The sequence below is a fragment of the Homo sapiens genome, chromosome 10, assembly GCF_000001405.40.
Source record: "Homo sapiens chromosome 10, GRCh38.p14 Primary Assembly".
Classification (NCBI taxonomy): Eukaryota; Metazoa; Chordata; class Mammalia; order Primates; family Hominidae; genus Homo; species Homo sapiens.
Genome location: NC_000010.11, coordinates 74642389 through 74668154, shown reverse-complemented (window position 1 = coordinate 74668154; position 25766 = coordinate 74642389). Strand labels below are relative to the sequence as shown.

Sequence of the window (25766 nt, the reverse complement as noted above, 5' to 3'; positions counted from 1 at the left end):
AACTAAAACCAAACAGGTACTAAATAAGTAAAATGAGCTCAAGTTAATGAAACCATTACTATTTACAATACATTTACATTATGTAATAATCTAACATGTCTATAAAACATTTTAGGTAATATAAGAATTAATCACTAGACTTACAGATTGGAAAATAATTATATATAAATAGTAAGTAAACCAAAATTACATAGAATTCCTTGAGCTCCTCGTTTGAAAACAATTATTCATTTTTGACTGCATAAATATTTATTTATGAACAGAACCTAATCGACAACGGAAGAGATTATTTTGAATTTTATTCTTAAGAATCATGACTTCTGGTCAGGCATGGTGGCTCACATCTGTAATCCTAGCACTTTGGGAGGTGGAGGTGGGCAGATCACGAGGTCAGGAGTTCAGCCAGCCTGGGCAACATGGTAAAATCCCGGCTCCACTAAAAATACAAAAAAAAATTTGTCAGGCATGGTGGCACATGCCTGAAATCCCAGCTACTCTGGAGGCTGAGGCAGGAGAATTGCTTAAACCCAGGAAGTGGAGGTTGCAGCGAGCCAAGATCGCACCACTACACTCCAGCCTGGGCGACAGAGTGAGACTCCCTCTCGGAGGAAAAAAAAAAAAAAATCATGACTTATTTATCTAAATTGCTGAAAATTCTACATAAATGCAGCTTTATAATGATTTTTTCTGGAGATATATATATATATATACACACACACACATCATTGAGATACTTTATCCTTAGTTTTCATATGAAGCTCAATTTCCTGAAATACAAAGTAGAATTATTTTCTACCTTTTTATACTTATCAGTACAGATAAGTATATAAGAATATCATATATGCAAAAGATGCGTCATAAACTCAGTTTTCATTATTTTCTATTATCTAAAGAACTACAAGAACTCCTTTCAAAATGATGACTCTGAAAAATCTTCAATAATATTTATGTTTTATTACATTTTCAGTATGCTCTGATTTTCAAATGACTTAAGCTGGTTTACAGATCTATTATAAAAAGTCATGGCCGGGCACAGTGGCTCATGCCTGTAATCCCAGCACTTTGGGAGGCTGAGGCGGGTGGATCACTTGAGGTCAGGAGTTTGAGACCAGACTCGCCAACATGGTAAAACCCTGTCTCTATTAAAAATACAAGAATTAGTTGGGCATGGTGGCATGTGCCTGTAATCCTAGCTACCTGGGAGGCTGAGGCACGAGAATCACTTGAATCTGGGAGGCGGAGGTTGCAGTGAGCAGAGATCATGTCACTGCACTTCAGCCTGGGCAACAGTGAGACTCAGTCTCAAAAAAAAAAAAAAAAAAAAGTCACAAAACTAACAGTTTTTACCGGCATGACCTACTCCATAGCTATTCTAGGAAATTTATTATATGAACACATGAAGTACATTCACTAAATCTGAATATACACTTACAGGTAAGGACGTTATTCAACCAATGAAGCCTACAACACTCACATGACTCTCACTGGGACCTAGTTTTCTTAGGCATGAAATGGGCCTGGAGTAGCTGTGGGAACAATTAGTAAAAACTAGCTTTCTGCACTAATTGTAGAAAAATGACCTGGTTAGTTTTGATCAAGTACTTCTACCTAAGAGCTTAAGATTATTCGTAGCATTTATTTCTCAATTCTTCACAAACTTTTTGTAAAGTGAGAAGGAAAAGGGTTGGGAATAATTATTATTCCTACTTTCTGGATTTCTAAAAAACCACTAAATCATAAGCTTCCCCAAGCAGACAGGAAACAAACACTAACAATTCAGTTGATAACAGATTTGTTTTGTGTCATTTATTAGATAAGACTTGCAGAGTGCCTTCATTCAAAACAATAAAATTTAGCTTACCTAGAATACAAAATAATCAATTTTAGGCATCCTCTAGACACTTCATACAAATAATTTACTCTTCACTTAAATATGAGACAAGCTTCACTACCTAATCACTTAAGAGGCCAATCTAATTAGAATAAAAACATCTTCATGCATCAATAATGAAAGTCAATTATATTAGAGATGGTTAAGTTTCTACAATTGCCACAATATCTAATTGAACAATAATACAAATCCAGTTACTCAATGCCAAACAATTAAATGTTTCTGCAGGTTTACCTCCACTAAATTAACTATATATTTTAGCACTAGATACACACAACCTCACGATATCCTTAGAAAATTTTGTTCAAAGAATTTTTAAAATGCCACATTGTTACTGTTTTGTTGATGTCCTAAACTGTTGAGAAGATACAAGTGAAGGTGATCCAGCAGGTTGAAAGGCAGGTAGGCAGGTGTTTTTCTTTCTTTCTTTTCTCTCTCTCTTCCTTTTCCTTCCTTTCTTCATTTTCCTTCTGTCTGTCTGTCTCTCTCTCTCTCTCTCTCTCTCTCTCTCTCTCTCTCTCTCTCTCAAGAGCTAAGGTCTCACTCTGCCTCCCAGGCTGGAGTGCAGTGGTGTGATCATGGTTCACTGTAGCCTCAAACTCCTGGGCTAAAAGGATCCTCCTGCCTCAGCCTCCTGAGCAGCTAGGACTACAGGTGCAAGCCAACATGCCTGGCTAATTTTTAAATTTTTTTTGTAGAGACAGGGTCTTGCTGTGTTCTCCAGACTGGTCTTGAGCCCTTGGCTTCAAGTGATCCTCCTGCCTCAGCCTCCTAAACACCAGGCATGAGTCACCACACTTGGCCTGGTGTTTTTCAACCTCAAGGTAAAATTCAGTCACTACCCCTGCCACTGCCTCTGACCCAGCATCAATAGGCATGGAAGAAACAGAAAAGTGATGGTAAAAACTTCTCCAGAAAGTGAAAAGTATGACTACGTAAAAACCAGAACCCTTCACATTCTTATGCCATTGCTTATAATAAGGTAATATCCATAGTATTAAAATGTTTTTGTTTGTTTCTTTTAAAAAACTATTTAGAAATAATTTTAAATTAACAGAAAAGTTCCCAGAAAAATACAGACAATTTCTATGCAACATTTATCCAGATTTACCATTTTTTAACATTTTGCCACATTTAGTTGATCATTCCTCCCATATATATAACATTATTTATTCTTTCAAAGTTTTATTTAGCATTTGTGGTATATATTATGCCTTTTACCCCTTAATACTTCAGTGTGTATTTCCTAAGAGTGATGATATTCTGTTAGCCAGGTTATAGTTGATAAACACAGAAAACAACATTTTAATCTAATCTATAGTCCACAGTTCAATTTTCTTAATTGTCCTAATGTATTTTATAGCAATATTTTTCATCTGGTATAGAATTCAGTCCAGAATCACATATTACTTTTTTTTCTTTGAGATGGAGTTTCGCTGCGTCGCCCAGGCTGGAGTGCAGTGGTGCGATCCTGGCTCACTGCAACCTTCACCTCCCAGGTTCAAGCGATATCCTTCCTCAGCCTCCTGAGTAGCTGGGACTACAGGTGTGTACCACCATGCCCGGCTAATTTTTGTATTTTTAGTAGAGACGGAGTTTCATCATGTTGGCCAGACTGGTCTTGAACTCCTGACCTCAAGTGATCCATCCACCTTGGCCTCCCAAAGTGCTGGGATTACAGGCGTGAGGCACCATGCCTGGCCACATATTACTTTTAGTTGTGCTTGTTTTTAATTTAACTTTTTGAGTAGGTAATGTATTCGTATGATTCAAAAATATAAAACATATGAAAAGCTATGCTATAAAATCTCCCTCTCCTCATCTCTGCCCTTCAGCTGGTTTCTGCTCCTTCTACTTCCCAATCTGGTTATCACTGTTATTGCTTTCTTATATATCCTTCTAGAATTTTTCTATGCATATACAATAAACTACATTCTTAATTTTTTCCTCCCCTCACCCACACAAAAAAAGGTATCATACTATCTAGGCTACTCTGGATCATATTTTAAAATCTTGGATATCTTTCTATATTGGTAAACAGAGAATGTCCTCATTATTTTTTATTGCTGCATAATAGTCCACTACATGGATATAGTATAATTTATTTAACCAATCCTTTACTGATGGACTTTTAGGCTATTTTCAATCTTCTATTATCATAAACAACGTCACAAAGCATTAATGCTTTTAAACAGACCTTAAATTTAATTATTTTGCTTCATAGGTCAATAATATCATTCCAGCTTTATGGAGAGAACTGATAGAAGGAAACTAAATTGTTATACTAACAGCATGAAATATGCCTATATCAAGGAATAGGGAAAAAATGAGAATCCGGAAATGCTTTTCTTTTCACTAGGACACACATATCAGGATATGAGCAAAGACACCCTGCTTAGACTGCCCTAATAAACAGGGCAATAAAAAAGATGATGAACTCTGCTAATAATAGAGATTTATAGAACAATCCTAATTAACAAGGACTTTTGAGGCATAAAGAGCTCTGAGTTAATTTAATTTTCTAGTTAACTAAAGAAAAAGCAGAAAGTCTTTTTATTTGGAAATCTTTCTAAATGTGTTAATATAATAATATGCCATGACATCCCTGCTTTAATTAGTTTAGTTTATTGAACTGAATAAAATTTTTCTTTGATAATAGAGAATCCTACAGCACATCTTAATGTCATTATTCTGAACATCAATTCTTACTGTAGTTCCAAAGGTATAAGTGCTTCCACAAAAAGTAGGAAAAATTAAATGTTCATGGGAAGTACACTTGATTAGGAGCAAAAAAGCCATAGTTTTAGTCTAGTTCGGGCTTAGCTATTTTATTTAATAAATATTTATTAAGACTCTACCATGTGTCAGGTACTTTATTAGGGACTGGGAATACAGATGTGAATAGGATAAAAACTCTGCTTTTATGAGGCCAACATTCTAGTGGGGATAGACAATACACAAGTAACAAATATATAAACAAGCTAATTTGAGATACATATATATATATATATATATTATTTTTTTTTTTTGAGATAGCATCTTGCTCTGTTGCATAGGCTGGGGTACAGTGGTGTGGTCTTGGCTCACTTCAACCTCCACCTCCTGGGTTCAGGCTATTCTTGTGCCTCAGCTACTCTTAGCTGGGATTACAGGCGTGCACCACTATGCCCAGCTAACTTTTTGTACTTTTAGTAGAGATAGGGTTTCATCATGTCGGCCAGGCTTGCCTTGAAATCGTGAGCTCAAGTGATCCATGATCCACCCACCTTGGCCTCCCAAAGTGCTGGGATTACAGGCATGCGCTACCATGCCCGGCCTAATTTGAGATATTAATAGGTGCCATACAGAAAATAAAACAGGATGATATGATGAAGTGTGACAAGGGAGGGGAGTTAATTTACATAGGTATTACTTCCTCACTGAGGAGGTGATATTTGAGTTGAGATTTCAAGGGTAAGAAGGAACAAGCCATGTGAAGTTCCAGGGGTAGAACATTCAAGTGCAGAGGCCCCAGACTAGCAACAAGCTTGGCAAACTAAGACTGCTGAAGCTAAAGAAGGCCACTGTACCTGGAGTATACTGAATGTGGGGGTTTTGCAGGATTTCATTCTATGTAAAATGGGAAACTGTTGGAAAGTTTTAAATAAGGGAGTGATGCAATCTCATCTTTGATATGAAAATATTGCTGGGCACAGTGGCTCATGTCTATAATCCCAGCACTTTGGGAGGCTGAGGCGGGAGGACTGGTTGAGCCCAGGAGTTTGAGACCAGACTGGGAGACATGGCAAAACTTCATCTCTACCCAAAATGGAAAAATTAGCTGGATGTGGTGGTGCACATCTATATTCCCAGCTACTCAGTAGGCTGAGGTGGGAGGATCGCTTGAGCCCAGGTGGTTGAGGATGCAGTGAGCTATGATTGTGCCACTGCTCTCCAGCCTGCATGACAGAGCAACACCCTGTCTCAAAAGAAAATTATTTTGGCAGCCTGATAGAGAACGGACAATGGACTGGAATGGCAGGGGTTGAGGGTGGGGTCAATAACGCTACTTACCAAGAATCCTTGGGCAAGCCACAATGTAATTTAAACTCAGTGTTATTACCTAAAAAATGAAGATAATATCTGTTCTACCTATTTTCTGTGACTATTATATGGATTAAGTATTAACAGTGTTATAAAAACACCCTGACAATATAAAGACCTATATAATATTATCAGGTATTTTTAGGAGCTTATTTTCTTCAATCAGGTAATAAGTATTTGTTGAACAATAGCTGTGAGCTCATTAGATCTCATAGAACAATAGTTATGATACTCTGTTAGATCCTCTGGGGGAGATACAGGAAAAATATTAAGACATGATCTATCTTCTCAAGGAGCTTAGAATCTAGATGGAAAGAGAAACCTAGCATATATCAAAGAATTTGTGAAATATCACACAATGTAACATCTATTATAACTGCAACAGGAGTTCAAAAAAGGGAAAGAACAATATAGTTTAACTGGAGATGCTTTCACGGAGAAGACTGAACTTAAACTAGGTCTTAAACATGTGGATAATGAAAAAGAGAGGAAAAGAAAGGTGTGTATGTCCCAAGAGGAATAGAGACAGAAGAAAGTTTATATATCAAGTAAGGCAAGAAATAAATCAAGATGGGTGGGATCTAGCCATTTCTAGGGAGACTTTGAAAGCCACGCAAAAGTTTGGATTTGATACATCAGGCAATGGAATGCAACGGTAGTTATCTGAGTGAAAAAGCACTGCATCAAATGCTTTGTATACTTTATCTCATCTAATTCTCACATGAGTAAGGTATCACTAACCTTATTTTATAAATGATGACTCTGAGGCTCACAGAGTTTGTCAACTGCCTAGAGTCCCATGGCAAAGGCAGGAATTTGGGACAAATGAATGAAAGAGAAGTAGTAAAATATGATCCCAAAGTTGTCATTCAAGTAATGTTGCTACTATTTTCCTGAAAAAAAGGTGATGATGGAATAAATAGATTTTGATTCATTGTTACACAGCAGTTAACTGACATTTAAATTCCCTTAAGCCTGGTACTGATAACCAAATTTGACTAAATTAAGTTGATAAATTCTCCATAGAGAGTAGAGGGAGTATAACTGTGGTTAAGTGCATAAGTCAGACTGCTTGGGTTCACATTCCAGATTTGCCATTTACAATCTGGTAATCAGATTAAATTCTCCTTTTTCCTTTTTTTTTTCTTTGAGACAGAGTCTTGCTCTGTCACCCAGGCTGGAGTGCAGTTACACAATCTCAGCTCACTGCAACCTCCGCCTCCTGAGTTCAAGCGATTCTTCTGCCTCAGCCTCCTGAGTAGCTGGGACAGCAGGTGCGTGCCACCACGCCCAGCTAATTTTTGTATTTTTAGTAGGGATGGGGTTTCACCATATTGGCCAGGCTGGTCTCGAACCCCTGACCTCATGATCCACCTGCCTTGGCCTCCCAAAGTGCTGGGATTACAGGCATGAGCCACTGCGCCTGGCCTCTTTTTTTTTTTTTTTTTTTTGAGACAGGGTCTCACTTTGTCACCCTGGCTGGAGTGCAGTGGTGCAATCTCGGCTCACTGCAACCTCAACTTCCCTGGCTCAAGTGATCCTCCTATCTCAGACTCCCAGGTAGCTGGGATTACAGGCGCATGCCACCATGCCCAGCTGATTCTTTGTAGAGAAGAGTTTTCGTCATGTTGCCCAGGCTGGTCTCAAACTCCTAGGCTCAAGTAATCCTCCCAACTTGGCCTCCCAAAGTGTTGGGATTACAGGCATGAGCCACTGTGCCAGGCCAATTTTCTCATATTTAAAATAGGAGGCTAGACACGGTGGCTCGTGTCTGTAACCCCAGCATTTTGGGAGGCTGAGATGGGCAGATTGTTTCAGCTAATAAGTTCGAGACCAGCCTGGGTAGCATGGCGAAACTCCATCTCTACAAAAAAATACAAAAAAACTAGCCAGGTGTGGTGGTGCATTCCTGTAGCCCCAGCTATTCGGGAGGCTGAGGTGGGAGGATGGTTTGAGTCCAGGAGGCGGAAATTGCAGTGAGCCGAGATAGTGCTGCTGCACTCCAGCCTGGGTGATAGAGCCAGATGTTGTCTCAGAAAGAAAGAAAAAAGGAACAATAATAGCATTTGCAGGTACTTACAGGATTTTTCTGAGGAGTAAATTAGTTAATACATATAAAGCACTTGGAAAAGTTGGCACATAATAAGCATTCCTTTTTATGATTAAATGGACAAGGATATTATTAATCTTGAAATGAAACTTGTGATGGTTAATACTGAGGGTCAACTTGATTGGATTGAAGGATGCAAAGTATTGATCCTGGGTGTGTCTGTGAGGGTGTTGCCAAAGTCAGTGGGCTGGGGAAGGCAGACCCACCCTTAATCTTGGTGGGCACCATCTAATCAGCTGCCAGAGAATATAAAGCAGGCAGAAAAACATGAGAAGGCCAGACTGGCTTACCCTCCCAGCCTACAACTTTCTCCTGCGCTGGATGCTTCCTGCCCTGGAACGTCAGACTTTCTTCAGCTTTGAGACTCGGACTGTCTTCCTTGCTCCTAGCTTGTAGGTGGTCTATTGTGGGACCTTGTGATTGTGTGAGTTAATACTACTTAATAAACTCCCATTTATATAGATACATATCTATCCTATTAGTTCTATCCCTCTAGAGAATCCTGACTAATGCAAGACCTTTGAGTATAGGAGATTCAGGTCTCACTTAAAATTGCTGCTTCTGAAGGCATGGTTCTGACCTTGCAGACTACCTGCCTCTACATCATTGTTTGTGGTAAAATCTCTTAGTTTGTTCATGTTTGCATCTGATTTTCTACAAATGTTTTAAGTTAATTCCAGTTAAGGTCTTCAGTTCTGAATGTAAACATATAAGAGAATGAGTGTTGACTTTGAATACAAAAATAGTTTTCCATGGAAAAATGACCAAGAAAACAATGATAGATGGAATTACTGCTCTAAAACCTTATTTCCCCTTTGTTTAGTGTGTGTGACTGCATTTAAGAAATTTTTTAGAGACAGGATCTCTCTCTGTCACCCAGGCTGGGGTGCAGTGGTGCCATCACAGCTCACTGCAGCCTTGAGCTCTGGGCTGAAGTGATCTTCCTGCCTCAGCCTTCCAAGTAGCTGGGACCACAGGCATGCGCCACCATGCCCAGCTAATTTATTTTTATTTTTTTTATAGAGATGGGCCTCCCTATGTTGCCTAGGCTGGTTTCAAACTTCTAGGCTCAAGTGATCCTCCCACCTTGGCTTCCCGAAGTACTGGGATTACAAGTGTGGGCCACTGCACCTGACTATATATATACACATATATATATGCACGTGTATATATGTGTGTGTGTGTGTGTGTATAATGAATTAACGAGGTTTCTGTTATCTTTAATAGGTTCACTAAATGAAGCATATCACTTTAATCTTACTATAAAGCTGTTCATGTCAACCTGGTCTCTACTTCTTTAAATGTTACATGCTGCACTCTCTTATCTGAAGAACTGGTTTCCAGCCAGGCATGGTGATTTATGCCTGTAATCCCAGAGCCTTGGGAGGCTGAGACAGGAGAATCGCTTGAGCCCAGGAGTTTGAGACCAGCCTGCACAACAAGCTGTCTCTACAAAAAAAATTAAAAGCCAGCCGGGCATGGGGGTGCGTGCCTGTAGTCCCAGTTACTTGGGAGGCTAACTAAGGTGGGTGGATTGCTTGAGCCCAGGAGGTTGGGGCTGTAGTGAGCCATGATAGCACCACTGCACTCCAGCCTGGGTGACAGAGGGAGATCCTACATCAAAAACAGACAGACAAAAAACTGATTTCCTCTGCTGTTTTAGCTCATAGCTCACTGACCATCTATGGACTGTCTACCTTTGGTTATGTTCCTAACCCTGATTCACTCAGCTGAGCACAGGAAAGGAGCTAGGGCTCAGGGCACAAAACTTGGCTGCCTAGGTAAGAGGAGCTATAGAAAAGGCAATATTTTTTTCTGATGATTGCTAGCATCCAGAACTATGCCTGGTATATTATAGGGGCTCAATAAATATATGATGAATAAACAGAGTACTTTTTCATGAATACAAATCTGATGTTATTCCCCTGTTAAAAACTCTTCAATGGTTCTCTATTGAATGAACTCTTAACTCTAGGATATGAATCCAGCCTATTGTTCAAACTTTATCTTTCCCTGACCAAAAGAGTAACTTTAGTCAGTTACTCTTTGGTCATACTCATGATGTCCCAAATGTGCCATGATCTTTTATTCTTGTGTATGTATCAAGTCTACATTTCAAATTGTCTTTCACTCTTAGTTCCAAATAAGGCATGTCTTCTTGGCTATAGTCCTTGGCCTCCAAGCAGAACTGATTATTCTCTTTTATGCCATCACTTATAACCTTCACATACTTCCAGGAAGGTATCTATCATAGTTACAATTACTTCTTTACAAATGTCTTCTCAACTAAACTTTGAACTCCTTATAGGTAGGAATTATGACTTAATCTTATTCCCAGCTCTTAGTACTGTATCTAGTACAGAGTAGGTGCTCAATTAACAATTATTGCTGAATATAGTGATTATTCCTACTAGATTTTAACTTCCTTGAGACTGGTATATGTTTTACATTTGATTATCTCCCAGAATCTAGTACAGTATGAACTCACTATACATTTTCTGGCTGATCTTAAGTAGTAAATAACTGTACTATATTTCTCTAGCTTAGTTTAGTAAACCACGGAAGCAAATAAACTCAAGTTTCTAGTTGTCAGTGATCCTGCCATTGGGATTTAATAATTTAGCATTTCTGACACTTGTATAAAAGTAAATCATACAATTGCTTGAAATTTAGAGGTGCTATTTCAACAGTGAATAAATTCAACCTTGCACAACCTTTCCCAAAAACCTTTCCAGACCTAACTGTGCTGAACACATTCTGGAAATAATGAAAATATGATTTGATTGGTGCTTTCACTTTCCATCATTCCATCATTTAAAAATGAGAACATATTTATGAGTTGATGAATCTAGATTCAGATCCTGTTTAAAGATAGAAGGCTGACCACGTGCAGTGGCTCACACCTGTCGTCTCAGCCAAGGTGGGAGGAACACTCGAGGCCAGGAGCTCAAGACCAGTCTGGGCAACAAAGCATGGCCCTGTTTCTACAAAAAATTTGAAAAACTGTCCACAGAGGCAGTCTACAGATTAAAAAAAAAAAAAAACTAGCTAGGTATGGTAGCACATGTCTATAGTTCCAGCTACTCAGGAGGCTGAGGCAGGAGGATCCTTTGAGTCCAGGAATTCGAGGATGCAGTGAGCTGTGATTGTGCCACCGCACCCCAGCCTAGGTGAAAGAATGAGACCCTGTCTCTAAAACAAAACAAAACAAACACCACAAAACACAGAACGCTCTCATGTGGGACTTTGAATTAACATTTGATTATTTATTTATTTACTTAAAAGGAAATTAACATTTATTGAGTGGCTACTGGTTCTGGCCTTGTGCAAGGAGTTTTCATCTATAATATCCCATGTAATCCTCACGTCAACCCTGTGAAGTAGGTATCATCCCCATTTTTGTCAGATGAGGAACAGGAGGCTCAGAAAGGTTAGGTAGTTTGCGCAAGGATACAGAACCAGGAACTGATGAGTTGGGACCCCATGCTTAAGTCTCAGACTCAATCCTTGCTCTCTCTCCTATACTGCCTCTGGGAGGAAGAAGGGAGCACCAGCAAAAGCTGCAGTCCTCACACTTGCTGCCTGACGGCCCAACAGCCACCAAAAGCCTGCACCTTCCCACAGATCCTCCCTCCTCCCTTGGGAGGATGCAGTCAGTTGAAGAGATTAAGACAAAATACAAAATATAAATACAAAAACAAATAGCATGGACAAGTCCCCAGCAGCAAGGATGTACCATCTTCACACTGTGGGAAGGTAACTGTGCCATTCACAGCTGCTGTGGGAGGAAGCCCTGTGGGCCCTGGGGGAAACTGGGACAATGGCTGCCAAAGGCTGGAGTGGGTGGGCTCAACTGGCCTCTCCTGGGTTGCAGAGATTCGAGAACAAAATGTCTGGAGCAGACAGCAGCCGCCATCCTCCTCCATCTGATCATTTTACCAGTGTTTGTGATCCAAGAGGGATTCAAAATCGGGGGAACACAGAAGTTTGTGCTTCACATGTCCCAGGTCTATCATCTCCCCAGTCCTACTCTCTCCAAGGCCCACAGACACCAGCTCCTGCAGGAAAGAGCAGGCGGTTCCCATGGTCACGTCCAGAGTCACCTTGCCCAGGAGGAGTTGCACCCTTTCGGACTTGCAGATGGGCAGCTTGCCAACCTGACCCTCTGTCAGGTCAGCTAGGGTAGAAGCATTCTTTGCCAGCCTGGCTTCCTGGTCGTTCTCCTGCTTGATGAGTACCACCTCTCTGTCCTTGCCCTGTACCTCTGCCTTGATGGGCTTGATGTCCTGGATAGGTGGGTGGCCAGGGAGGGTGTCTGGCAACTGGAGGAACAGCAATTCCTCCTCCTTGGTGAGGCTCAGCTCCCTGGGCAGCTCTGCCACGGATATGTCCTTCGGGAGGCCCGGGGGTCTTCCTGGCTGCTCTGGAAGGAGCCTTTATCTTGGCCTCCTCCTCATCTTGTAGCTCCTCTTTCAGTTTCACAGTAGGTACCCCCACCTCTTTCTTGGGGCCAGCCAGCCAAGGTTTAACATCTGGTTCATTGTTTTCTTCCTTAAAAAGCCACCCTGAGTGAGCCAGTGGCAGCTGCACAGGCATGTTGCGAGTGTCATTCCTCAGCCCAGGGTCATCAATGAAATCGTCCTTCTACAGCATGGTGAGATGTTTCGTGTCTTCGTCCAACTCTTTCTTCTCTTTTTTGATGTGGACGATATGAGAAGGTCCCATGTCTGACACATTCACTTTCTTATTCCAGTTCCTTTTTTCTTCATCATTTCAGCTGGGCCCTTCTCAAAGATGGAGTGAGACTGGATCACTTCTGGGTGGCCTCATCCCTGTCCATGCACCTGTCTCTGTCCATCTCTGTCCCTTTCATGTTTCTCCTTCTTGACGGTTACTTCTTCCTTGGGTTCTTCTGACTGATGATATTTGGGGTGAAGGTTTTCTTCTTGACCCCCAACCTCAACCCCCAGGGTAAGGTTCCCAGAGCGGATGAAGGGAAGGCGGCCCGGGGTGAAGGGGTGCCAGTCGCTGCCTGCTGAGCTCCTGGGCCCCAGTCAGGAGGGGTCGGGGCCCTTGCAGAGTGCTGGGTTCGCTCACTGCATTTCCTTCCGACATGTTGCCCAGGTGCGGCTCCACACCGCTTGTTATGACTTCACCTGCGACTAACCTGCTGCCATCCCTTGGTCTCTGCCACAAGCGGAAGTCTGAATGGCAGGCCCTGGGCCCATATTGGCCTTTTTTTTTTTTTTCTATTGAGACAGGGTCTCACTCTTGTCACCCAGGCTGGAGTGCAGTGGCACAATCTTGGCTTACTCACTGCAACCTCTGCCTCCCGGGTTCAAGCAATCCTCCTGCCTCAGCCTCCCAAGTTGCTGGAACTACAGGTGCCTGCCACCACACCCGGCTAATTTTTGTATCTTTAGTAGAGACGGGGGTTTCCCCATGTTGGCCAGGCTAGCCTCGAACTCCTGAACTGAAGTGATCTGCCCACCTCGGCCTCCCAAAGTGCTGGGATTATAGGCATGTGCCATTGCACCTGGCCTGAATTAATACTTGAATTGGATCAAACCAGGGCAATCAAATGAATCCTAAGTGACATAGGTGGGATTCACCTCATGAGGATGCCATATAAATTCAAGTAATATCTGTATGTATATGATTCTTCTTTATAAAGAGACCATGGACTCTTAGGGCGGGAGAATAGGAAGAAGCATTTATTAGATAATTTGGACCAAGGCGTCATAGTTATAGAAAATACTGAAAGGCCAAACATCAGGTGCTTTCTTTTTAGCGGCCTGGTCCCAATTATTTCAGGAGTAGGACATTATTGGTATTCTAAATGTGACCCTTCTTAAAATCATATCTCTCCTTCTGAGCACAATGGTTAAGATTTTCAAAATGGATAGGTACATACAAAGTTCTTTATTTTTGAAGAAGCAGCTATTTCTAATCATGGACTTTCCATCAGTAAGATTGTTATTTGAATTGTTGATGGTGGCAATGGAAAATATTTAGAGTTTACAAAAGAAAAAACTGCATTAGATATGAAGGAACCAAAAGTTCCTTTTTTCTTTATGACATAGAAGAAATCTTAGAGCAAGAAAGCATCTCAGGGATGATAATGCCACAAGGCAATGTCATAGGTTTATACTGAAAGACAAGGATATTTTTTTTAACAGTGCATACTGTACAATAAAATTAAAGTTCCCTAAGTATGAAGTCAATTTCAATGGGCATCCTGACAATCAAACACTGATAAAAGTTCTGAGTACCATTTATTGTCCAATAAACTAAACTGGATTCACAGATTACTTGTCTACTTGGAATACAGCAATAAACACCAGTAAACAACCATTTTATCCAATTTAAGCAGAAGTCATTTCTTTATTAAGTCATTTGCCAATCTCTCTTGCACTTAAAAGCAGATTAAAATGTGTAACATATGGTTAATTACCTGTAAAAACAACAACAACAAAACCTCTCAAGTACACTGATTTTAAAGCTTGGTTGTGTTCCTCACCATTCTTTACGAATAGAAGCTGCAGCACCAGGGGAAAAAAAAAGTTGCAGAAATATTTTAAGGATCATACGCATGTTATTCCTTATTATTATTATTTTTGAGATGGAGTCTTGCTCTGTCACCCAGGCTGGACAGCAATGGCATGATCTCGGCTCACTGCAACCTCTGCCTCCTGGGTTCAAGCAATTCTCCTGCCTTACCCTCCCGTGTAGCTGGGATTAAAAGTGCCCACCACCAAGCCCAACTAGTTTTTGTATTTTTAGTAGATATAGGGTTTCATCATGTTGGCCAGGCTGGTCTTGAACTCCTGACCTCAAGTGATCTGCCCACCTCAGCCTCCCAAAGTGCTAGGATTACAGGCCTGAGCCACCGCACTCAGCCCTCGTGTTCTTCCTTCTGTTAAAGGATCTAAAGTTGAGCTACAGCCTAGCCAGACATCTCTGAGGTTCAATAAAGTCTCTGGGCAAAGACACAGCTCTGGGAAAGATTGAATAATCTAAAGAACTAAACTAAAACCAAGAAAATTCAGTCCGTCAATAATAGTGACGGGTAGAAGCAGTTCAGAAACTGAGTTCACACCAGCTTATGAATTGATCGTACATTTCTCTTTCCAACTCACCATTCAATGCCTTCATCTTGGTAGTTTGAATGGTGAGTCATGGTGAGAGTATTTACACCATAGAAATTAGAAAACACAACAAACTAGGGCTTGGTTTGCTATGAGCTGACTGTTAAATATATACTAGCATACTGGGTTCCATCTTACTATTAGGCTTTTTTTTTTTCTTTTTGATACTAAGTCTCGCCGTATCGCCCAGGCTGGAGTGCAGTGGTGCGATCTCAGTTCACTGCAACCTCTGCCTCCCAGGTTCAAGTGATTCTCCTGCCTCAGCCTCCCAAGTAGCTTGGATTATAGGCGCCCACCACTACAGCCGGCTAATTTTTGATTTTGAGCAGAGACGGAGTTTCACCATGTTGGCCAGGCTGGTCTTGAACTCCAGACCTCAAGTGATCTGCCCACCTTGGCCTCCCAAAATGCTGGGATTACAGGTATGAGCCACCACACCTGGCCTACAGGCTATCTTTAAATTGCTGTTTGGTTATTTTTCCTAAGCAGAGATTGAAAATACAATTGTTATGTTGATAGTTCTGTAGAAAGTTCTATTGGGTAATGCTGCTATGAATATTTTCATCTAAGAAAGTTCCTGGCCAGGTGTGCTGGCTCATACCTGTTATCTCAGCACTTTGGGAGGCCAAGGTGGGTGGATCACCTGAGGTCAAGAGTTCGAGACCAGCCTGGCCAACATGGTGGAACCCTGTCTCCACTAAAAATACAAAAATATTAGTTGGGCGTGGTGGTGGGCACCTGTAATCCCAGGTACTCGGGAGGCTGAGGCAGGAGAATTGCTTGAACTGAGGAGGCAGAGGTTGCAGTTGAGCCAAGATGGCGCTACTAGCATAGTGACAAGATCTATACTCTGTCTCAAAAAAAAAAAAAAAGAAAGAAAGAAAGTTCCTTCATATCCCTTCATAGCCAAATTCCTTCTCAATAAAACAAAAACCAAAAAGCTACTGATCTGATTTCTATCACTGTAAATTAATAGTGCCTGTTCTAAATTCAAATAAATGTAATCATACAGTATATGTTCTTTTATATCTGGCTTCTTACCTCAGCACATTTTTTTTAGCATAATGTTTTTGACATTCATTCATGTGGTTACTCACATCAGTCATCCACCTCTTTTAACTGTCAGTGGTGTGCTGGAGCCTGCTCAGATTGGCTAATGAGAATTAATTCTGCATATACAAAGCTCTTCTCAAATCTACATTCAGTGACCTCACATTGATGGTGGGAGTATTTAAACCATGACACAATTGCTATGAATCTATGTTCTTTTTTCCTGAAAGCCAGTCATAAAATATTTGCTAACATATCACTGATTCTGTTTTAAATAACCTTCATCAACAGTGATAAAAAAAAAGAAAGAAATGTTGGTTTGCAGCATCAGGATCTGTTTAGGCAGGAAAGGACAGGGAAGGGTAACTGTTATCAGTTCAAAAATGTAGCTGCATAATACAACCCCTTAAGTTTTCTCCTTTGGCTTACAACTAGCTGAATGGGACAATTTTCCCATTCTACAGGAGAGTAGAATGTCCTTTCTAAAATTTTTCATCTGGGATTTCTTCATTTGACTCAAGTGTCTATCAAAAAATTTTAAAGAAGGAAACATTCTTCCTATGTTTGGGATGTCACTAGACAAACCAGTTCTCCGTAATTAGGGATTGCCAATGCCTATTAGATTAAGAAGAATGGCACAAGCCTATTAAAAAAAAAATTAAGACCCTGTGTCAAAATAGGCCATATTTGTTATCCAATACCATACCGAATTTTGGCAATTCCACTCAATTTAGAACTGGTTCTAAACTATCCCTAGCTGATGCCTCCATTTCCCCACCACCACCCCAAATATCATTCTAAATGCCTACAGCTCTTCTTAAGCTACATACTAATTCTAACTCTCAGAGAAAACAGAAGCCATTAGGTGTCAAGTCTTTATACTTTGCTGGTTATGTTGAACAACTAATAGTTTTCCATCAAACAATACAAGAATCAGTATTTTTGTTTCTGAGAATGAAAGAAGATGGGAGATAATTCATTTTAGGGACATTACATCATATAGCTTTAGAGGATACTATTTATATTCTAGTCTATGCAAATGGCACCTGCTAGACTTGGCCTGTTCACAGATCACAATACTATTTTAACTTCCTCAGATGACCCAGACACCATATACAAACTGGGCATGATATCGCTGTCAGTACTGCAAGGTTGATGTCATTAATTGTGTGTGGTATGTGAAGTCTCAACACTGGTTACACCTAGGCACAAGAAATTTGTGTTGTGCTAGTTAATCTTGGAAAAAACAAAGTAATGCCAAAAAGTCTCTATTTTTAATGTACTGACAGGCTGTGCTAGTAGTACCCCAAAGAAATAAAAGAAGCAACAACTCCCTCCCAGCCCAGATATCAGTTTGTTCATCTATTTTAATACCTCATTTTAGATAATATAAGTAAATGTTCTATGTGAGCTGTAAAGCGCAACATTAGGTATTAGCAATTATTATTATTACTTTTTTTGAGACAGAGTCTCACTCTGTCACGCAAGCTGGAGTGCAGTGGCGAGATCTTGGCAGCCTCCACCTCCTGGGTTCAAGTGATTCTCCTGCCTCAGCTTCCCGAGTAGCTGGGACCACAAACGCCGGCCATGACACCCGGCTAATTTTTGTATTTTTAGTAGAGACAGGGTTTCACCATGTTGGCCAGGGTGGTCTCAAACTCCAGACCTCAAATGATCTGCCCGCCTCAGCCTCCCAGAGTGTTGGGACTACAGGCATAAGCCACTGCGACTGGCCAACAATTACTTTCTATAATATTTTACCACAGTGGCCTCTGATAAGGAAGGAGGAAAGCCCATGTTCTAAGATTAGCTTAATCTGAAAATCTAGGATCTGAGGGGAAAGTTCACATTTCTGATAGCAATGGCAATACTCTAAACACGCTTTGAGATTGAAGAGAACATACACTGGACCATATAGGGGTCTTCTACTCCTCACAATCAGGTATCTTGGTTTTGAAGGGATGGAGACAGAAATATCTTTTAGACCTTCAGGAAAGTCATGGGGACAAGTATTCATATTTTTTGAGCTTAAATGTGGCTGGGAAATCTGAAAATGTGAACATCTTATCTAGCATTTCCCAACACTAGAATGTCACTCTAGACATCAGATAGCTCTTCCTTCTTGACTATACATTAAAAAATTTAGTGGGAAGAAATGGAGACAATTGTTGAAACTTAGCAGGAAGCCTACTATATTAAATACTTGAATATTAGTTGATTGACTGACAGAATTTGTTTTTTTTTTTTTGATATAGAGTCTCACTCTGTCGCCCAGGTTGGAGTACAGTGGTGCAATCAAGACTCACTGCAGCCTCAATCTTTCAGTCTCAAGTGGTCCTCCCACCTCAGCCTCCTGAGTACCTAGGATGACAGGTGCTTGCCATCATACCTGGCTAATTGTTTTAATTTTTTGTAGACAGGGTCTCCCTATGTTACAGAGGCTGGTCTTGAACTCCTGGGCCCAAGTGATCCTCCCACCTTGGCCTCCTAAAGTGTTGGAAATACAGGGGTGAGACACTGTGCCCGGCTGACAGTAGAATTTAAAAGACTTCTAAGCTAGCAATTAAGTGTATTTTCTAATAATCTAATTTTTATATACTACTTTAACAAAACTAGAGAAAACTTCATTATTTCTTATTTTATTTCTTTTTTTGTTTTTTGAGATGGAGTCTCGGTCTGTCATCCAGGCTGGAGTGCAGTAGTGCGATCTTGACTCACTGCAAACTCCGCCTCCCAGGTTCAAGTGATTCTCCTGCCCCTACCTCCGGGGTTCAAGTGATTCTCCTGCCTCAGCCTCCCAAGTAGCTGGGACTACAGGCTGCGTGCCACCACGCCCAGCTAATTTTTGTATTTTTAGTAGAGACAGGGTTTCACCATGTTGGCCAGGATGGTCTTGATCTCCTGACGTCGTAATCCGCCTGCCTTGGCCTCCCAAAGCACTGGGATTATAGGTGTGAGCCACTGCGCCCTGACCTATTTCTTATTTTCTTAGTGGTTACTATGGCAATTACAATTAAAATCCTAAATTCATAACAATCTAGTTTGAATTGTTACCAACTTAGCCTGGACAGTATAAAAAACCTTGCTCTTATACAGCTCTGTTTCCCTCTTTATGTTGTTGTTATAAATTACATATTTTACATGTCTTTCCATTAACATATAATTATTGTTTTAGGCACTTTTCTTCTTTTTTTTTGAGATGGAGTCTCGCTTTGTCACCAGGCTGAAGTGCGGTGGTGTGATCTCGGCTCACTGCAACCTCCGCCTCCCAGGTTCAAGCGATTCTCCTGCCTCAGCCTCCCGAGTAGCAGGGACTACAGGCGTGTGCCACCACGCCCAGCGAATTTTTGTATTTTTAGTAGAGATGGGGTTTCACCATTTTGGCCAGGATGGTCTTGATCTCCTGACCTCATGATCTGCCTGCCTTGGCCTCCCAAAGTGCTGGGATTACAGGTGTGAGCCACGGCGCCCGGCCTAGGCATTTTCCTTTCATGAATGAAAGAAGAGTTACAAACCAGCAATACTGGTTTTTATATTTACTTATATAGATACCTTTACAGGAGTTCTTTATTTCTTCATATGGCTTTCAGTTACTGTCTAGCATTCTTTCATTTAATCCTGAAGCATTCCCTTTTAGCATTTCTTGTAGGACAGGTCTATTGGCAATAAACCTCTTTATCTTTTATCTGGAAATGTCTTAATTTCTCCTTCACTTCTTAAGGACAGTTTTGCCAGATTATAGAATTTCTGTATTCTTAAGCCTATGTATGTGTATATATATATACATATATATACTTTTTAAATAAAGAAGCTAACTTACCAAGTAGATTCTCCACAATTCACAATGCATTTTAATCTATTGAAGATGCAAGAAGATAAATTGTAGTGTGGGCTGAGATCAGTGTTGAACTGAAGATAGGAAAGCTTTTCAAGGAATTAGTTGCTGATTGTACCTTGATAATTAAATACACAAACCTATGATCCTTTTAGACTTACTTAATTAGTATCAAATGAGCTTACTTAATTATAGCTGTAAATTAAATGCATAGGGTTTGCCTCATCTCAAAATAATTATATGTGCATTATAATGTGAATTATGGAACATTAATTTGTAGTTTATCGATTACTCCCTAAACAGAGACTGAAACTCATTAGGACAAAGTTATTATTATAGCAGTTTTGATAAATAGCTCCTAGAAGACGTTTCTGAATAACGTTTGCATACAAGTTATTTAAAGGAGAACTATACATGTGTCAGAATTAGTAGTACACACATTTATTACAAAACCCTGGTTCAGAAAAGTGTGCTCCCTGAGGTATTCAGGTAAGAGGCATATACACTTATATGTATGTATATAGTAATATCTCCCCGCTCATTCGGCACAGAGTTAGACCAACTTTTTCAAGTTTATAGTAGAAGCTGTAATTACCTTTTAAAAAAGTATTTTAACATAAATAACTACAGATCAAACTATTACCTCTAGTAAACCAGTTCTTAGCATCCCCCAAATACAGAAAATAATAGATTAACTATCATATTAAGAAAGCTTCTGTTATGTCTATTATACTCAAGAACCACACAAAGAGGGACATAACTCTATATCGTCTGTGGATACTATACTGTGGGTAGCTATCTTTTTTTTCCTTCCTTCTCCAATTTAATCTGAGAACAAACATTTGCTGCTAGAAAATGAACAGATAATTATTAAAGGCATAAATACAGACTAATTAGTGAGAGAAAACATTCTAACTCTAGAGTTTTTTTTTTTTAAGGAAATGACTATGTTTATTAATTGGGAAGAGCTGAGTACAAACGGAGCTCACTCAATATACAATTTAATACCTTTTAATTTGAGATGGGGAGGAGACTCTAACCACAAATTAAAATATTTCAAGTGTAATTTCATGAACAAGCCTTAGATTTTTCCTTAAATATAAAATGGATTTAAGTAAAAATGTGAGATTTTCATGATTAAAATAGACAAACTTTTCAGACTAGCCAGCTCTTGTCTTACATGCTTTAAATGCACCCACTGTTTTTCACATTTTCCTTTTCCTGCTCTCTTGTGAGACAACTCCCACTGACCACACCAATAACTGTGGCTGAGCTTATATTGTTTTCCTTCATTTTTTCTTCAATATTTTGCACTGCGAAACTGCTGCCACAAAGCCTGAAGACTGCACTTGATTGCTTACTGTAATACTAACATTTGCTAATTAGGAGTAGTGTGGCATTATCAGGCTTCAAAAGCAACAGCAATGAAGGCTGAGCAGCTATGTCAAGGCTTTCCTCAGCATGTGGTATTTTTAACTTTGGCCACCATAGCTTTTTCCTCACTATATTTGTAGTTTTCTGCCATTTTCTCTCTTTAACTACAGAGACTGAAGGGAAGACCTAAGCATAATAATCCTGTTTTAATTCAGCTCAATTTGGGCCTAAAGCAAACATCGAATTACTCATGATTAATTCTAAGGAACATAACCTACTCTCATGTCCAATGGGTCTATGTTTGAATCTAACTAGTGGCTTCCCCTCATCTTTCACTGCCTTTCAGTCCTGTTTTTCCTTGTGTTAATCCCCAAAGTGACTGAAGAATCATAACTTGCCATTCTCCTACTACACAAAATTTTTGTATTATGCAACTCACATTTCAAGGAACTTGTATTATTATCCTTGTATCATGTGTTCAAATTCAAATTAAACTCAGACCACTCTATAATAAGTGACAAGATGCATGAGGGCACTGTGATCTAGGCAACCATAATTATACAATTATTGATGAAGTTCGTGTTGATAAACAATGCAAACATTAGGAAATACTATTTTGCAATTAAGTGATGAAGAAAGCTGTTTACTGCCTTCCATTCTATCCTCTGTTAATAAGATCGAAGTTGCAGATGTTCATGTATGCTGCATTGATGTTAAATGGTGCATGATGCTCTAGGTGGTTCCCATAACCTTGCTTTGTCTACTCTGAACTGACTCAATTGATATGATAATATCGAAAAAATGCAGGGCTGAACTGGCACAATTTGCATAGCCTTGAAATCTGCCATTAATGGACAGCCAACTGCTTCTAAAAGTTCTTGTTCAGTTGTCACTGACAACAATGTATTAGACAAACAATATTTTGAAATTAACCACACAGGTGGGGATATCACTTACTGAAGCTTTTATCTCATCAAACAAGGTACACATCAATGTATTTATAAAGCTAGCAATTGGGGACTTTGTGATCTTTTTGGGAGTTCAATTACTATTAGAGTAAGTATTAATATAAAGAAAGCAGAAATCATTCAGGGGTCACAAAACAGTGGTAGTAGCACTTGCAGCTTTTTGACACAGGTATAATATTTAGAGAAACACCTTTCTCCCTTTCACAAAACCTATATTTCCATTTCATTATTAAATAAATATTATGTTTTAGATTAAGAAATAAAATCTTCAATGTTGTTCAATATTGCACTTTACTAATTAAAAAATCATCAGGTAAGAGACTCCATATAAGAATGGTAGGAATTACTCTGATGCATGAAAATGAAATGACACACTAGAGAACCTCAAACACTGAAGAAAACTGAAACACTTGCAAAAATATACTGAACAGAGAAGTAGAAAAATACCATAAATATAAGGGAGAACCAGAAATCTTTGAGTTTAGAATTTATGGGCACATATGGATAAAAGACAGTACATTTGCCTTGGGGCAGGGGGTAGGGGATGGACAATTAAACAATTAGAAGAGAAAAACTGCAAATAAATTAGAAGAATACAATTTTGAAACAAAAATTCTAGACAAGCTGATACAGAAAACTTAGTGCTAACAAAGGAATAATACAAAAGTGAAACACAGTGGGCTGCTCTGTACTACCTAGAAGTTAATATTAAATATTTAATTCCCCAAAGAGGAAATTCCCACATGACTAGTTGGATAAGACGTGGGCTAAAGGAATTTAGAGAAGCACCAGATAAAAGAAAATGTGCATACATATAATTAACATTTTACAGAAGGGCAGCAAAAGTGTTTTTTAAAATAAAACCAGGCCGGGTATGGTGGCTCATGTCTGCAATTCCAGCACTTTTGGGAGGCCAAGGCAAGAGGATCACTTGAGGCCAGAAGGTAAGACCAGCTTGGGCAACATACAAAGCCCCATCTCTACAAAAAAATTAAAAAATTAGCTGGGTGTGGTGTCACTTGTTCTCCTAGCTACTCAGGAGCCTGAGGCGGGAGCACTGCTCCAGCCCAGGAGTTCGAGGTTACAGTGATCTATGATTGCATCCCTGAACTCCAGCCTGGGTGGCAGAGCAAGACCCTGCCTCAAAAATAAACAAACAAATAAAAAAACCAATTCTTTCACTTAAGTCAAAGTTTGAACAATAGCTTGTTTTAACTTTTTGTTTATACTTGGTTTAAATCCTAAATTGAGACCTTTCATTCTGAGCATTAGTTTTATTACAAGACTAGAATATAAACATAAAGGAAAATGGGGCCACTGTACACCGTATCCATTGCCCCTCTTAACTGAACTCATCCCTGTGGGAAGACTGAATCTGTTCATAAGAACTGTACTTCCTATCTGATTAATATCAGATTAAACCTTCAAGAGGAGCTCTTACAGAGCATCTGGTTGAATGTGGTACAGATGCCTGGTCAGGGTTATTCCTGCTCTTTAACAGTTTCCCAAGCAATCCAGAAGGACAGAAAAATATTAATACGGATTAAAGTAGGTTGCAGGTACTAATGGCAGCCTAGGTAATTCAGACCAACTGTCTTATCAAGAATTAGAACATCTGGACATATTTTTAAAAAATCTGTTTGAAGGCATTGAAGTCCTAACAAAAGAATGAAGAATTACCAGGCTATAATACAGAGGATGATAGAAACCCAGAGAAGTGAGTCTGGTGTTTGATGCTAGGAGGACAAAGTCTGGAACCCAGTCTGTCAAGAGTAATGGGCCTAGTTAAAATCTCCTTATCTCAGGGTGGGAATCAAAAGGATTAAGGGTGTGTGAACAGGCAGTAGAAAGACCTAGACAAGGGATTGTAGCTTAGCCTCTAATCATCTAAATCTTTAAACTTAGATGAAGATAAATATAGTGTGCCAATGTCCCCATGCCTGCCAAAAGCAAACATGAATCATCCTATACTTCAAATTATTTCTATAAGCAATTTTGCAAATACAACATATCACCCACAATAAAAAATAAACAGTAATACAAAGAGGCAAGCAGGAAATTAAAACCAGCAGAAATTACAGCTTAATAAAGCAGTTCCAGATATTGAACTTAACAAACAGAAACTTTGAAATAGCAAGAGTTAAAGATAAAATCGAGAATTTTAACAGAGGACTAGAATACAACAGGTTTAAATGGAAATTGAAAGTAAAAATTTAGTGGATAGTTTTAATAGAAGCTTAGACACAACTTAAAAAAGAATTAGTGAACTGGAAGATAGAACAGAAGAAAATACCCACAATGAAGCCCAGTGAAGACAGATAAGATGCATTCTATATAGTTTCCCAAAGTAGAACTAGAACCTATGGGTAAAAGTGATCAAGAAGGCAAATTTATGTCCAAGAGAAGGAAAAAGTTTCTAACAATTTAGGGTTTATAAAACCAAATTAAATGGACCTCTCAGGTTGTGAATGTTTTAGAGAGGGTTTCTGACTTGAGTTGGGAATGAGATAAGATGACCCCTCTGTCCCTTTCAATTTTAAGACCTTAGGATTTAGGCTAAGCATGGTGAGTCATGCCTGTAATCCCAGCACTTTAGGAGGCTGAGGTGGGTGGATTGCTTGAGGCCAGGAATTTGAGACCAGCCTGAGCAACATAGTGAGATGCCTGTCTCCACTAAAAATAAAAAAAGTTAGCCAGATATGGTGGCACACACCTGTAGTCCTAGCTACTTAGGAGGCTGAGGTAAGAGGATCCTTTGAACCCAGGAGTTTGAGGCTACAGTGAGCTATGATCATGCTACTGCACTCCAGCCTGGGTGATAGTGACTGAGTGAGACCCTGTCTTAAAAAAAAAAAAAAAAAAAAAAAAGAACTTAAGATTTTATAAGAATTCAGAGAGTGATCAGGTAGAAAAATTAAACTCAGGAGAATAAGTTTTGAAAGACCACAGTATGATCCAATAAATGTAAAAGTATATATATTATGTGTGAATGCAAGCACTCAGTAGAAAGATGTCTAGAAGTAATCACTAAATTGTTAACAAGGGTTATCTCTGGGGATAATTTTAGTAAATATTTTATAAGAGGGAATATGGTAAAGATGATATCAGTAACCATGAGATCAGAGTATTGCAACTAAGGGTATTACATTAGAGGAGGGGTTCTCAAACTTTTTCTCTTAAAAAATTATTGAGGTCAGGTGCACTGGCTCATACCTGTAATACCAGTACTTTGGGAAGCCAAGGCAGGAGGATTGCTTGAGCCCAGAAGTTTGAAACCAGCCTGGGCAACATAGTGAGACCCTGTCTC

The 25766-nt window shown here is 39.6% G+C and overlaps 1 protein-coding gene and 1 pseudogene across 11 annotated transcripts in view, besides 1 other annotated feature; both read right to left on the bottom strand.

The window, feature by feature from the left end:
- Positions 1–25766, bottom strand: part of ADK (adenosine kinase) — a 558070-nt gene that overhangs the window by 41136 nt on the left and 491168 nt on the right. The window lies entirely within an intron of this gene.
- POLR3DP1 (RNA polymerase III subunit D pseudogene 1) lies at positions 11828–13204 on the bottom strand (annotated as a pseudogene).
- Positions 12796–13296: an enhancer, noted in NCBI's record as "H3K27ac hESC enhancer chr10:76414617-76415117 (GRCh37/hg19 assembly coordinates)". NCBI's record gives its function as "activates a minimal SCP1, AML or CMV promoter by ChIP-STARR-seq in naive H9 embryonic stem cells {active_cell/tissue: H9 hESC(naive)}" and the evidence as "EXISTENCE:reporter gene assay evidence [ECO:0000049][PMID:30033119]".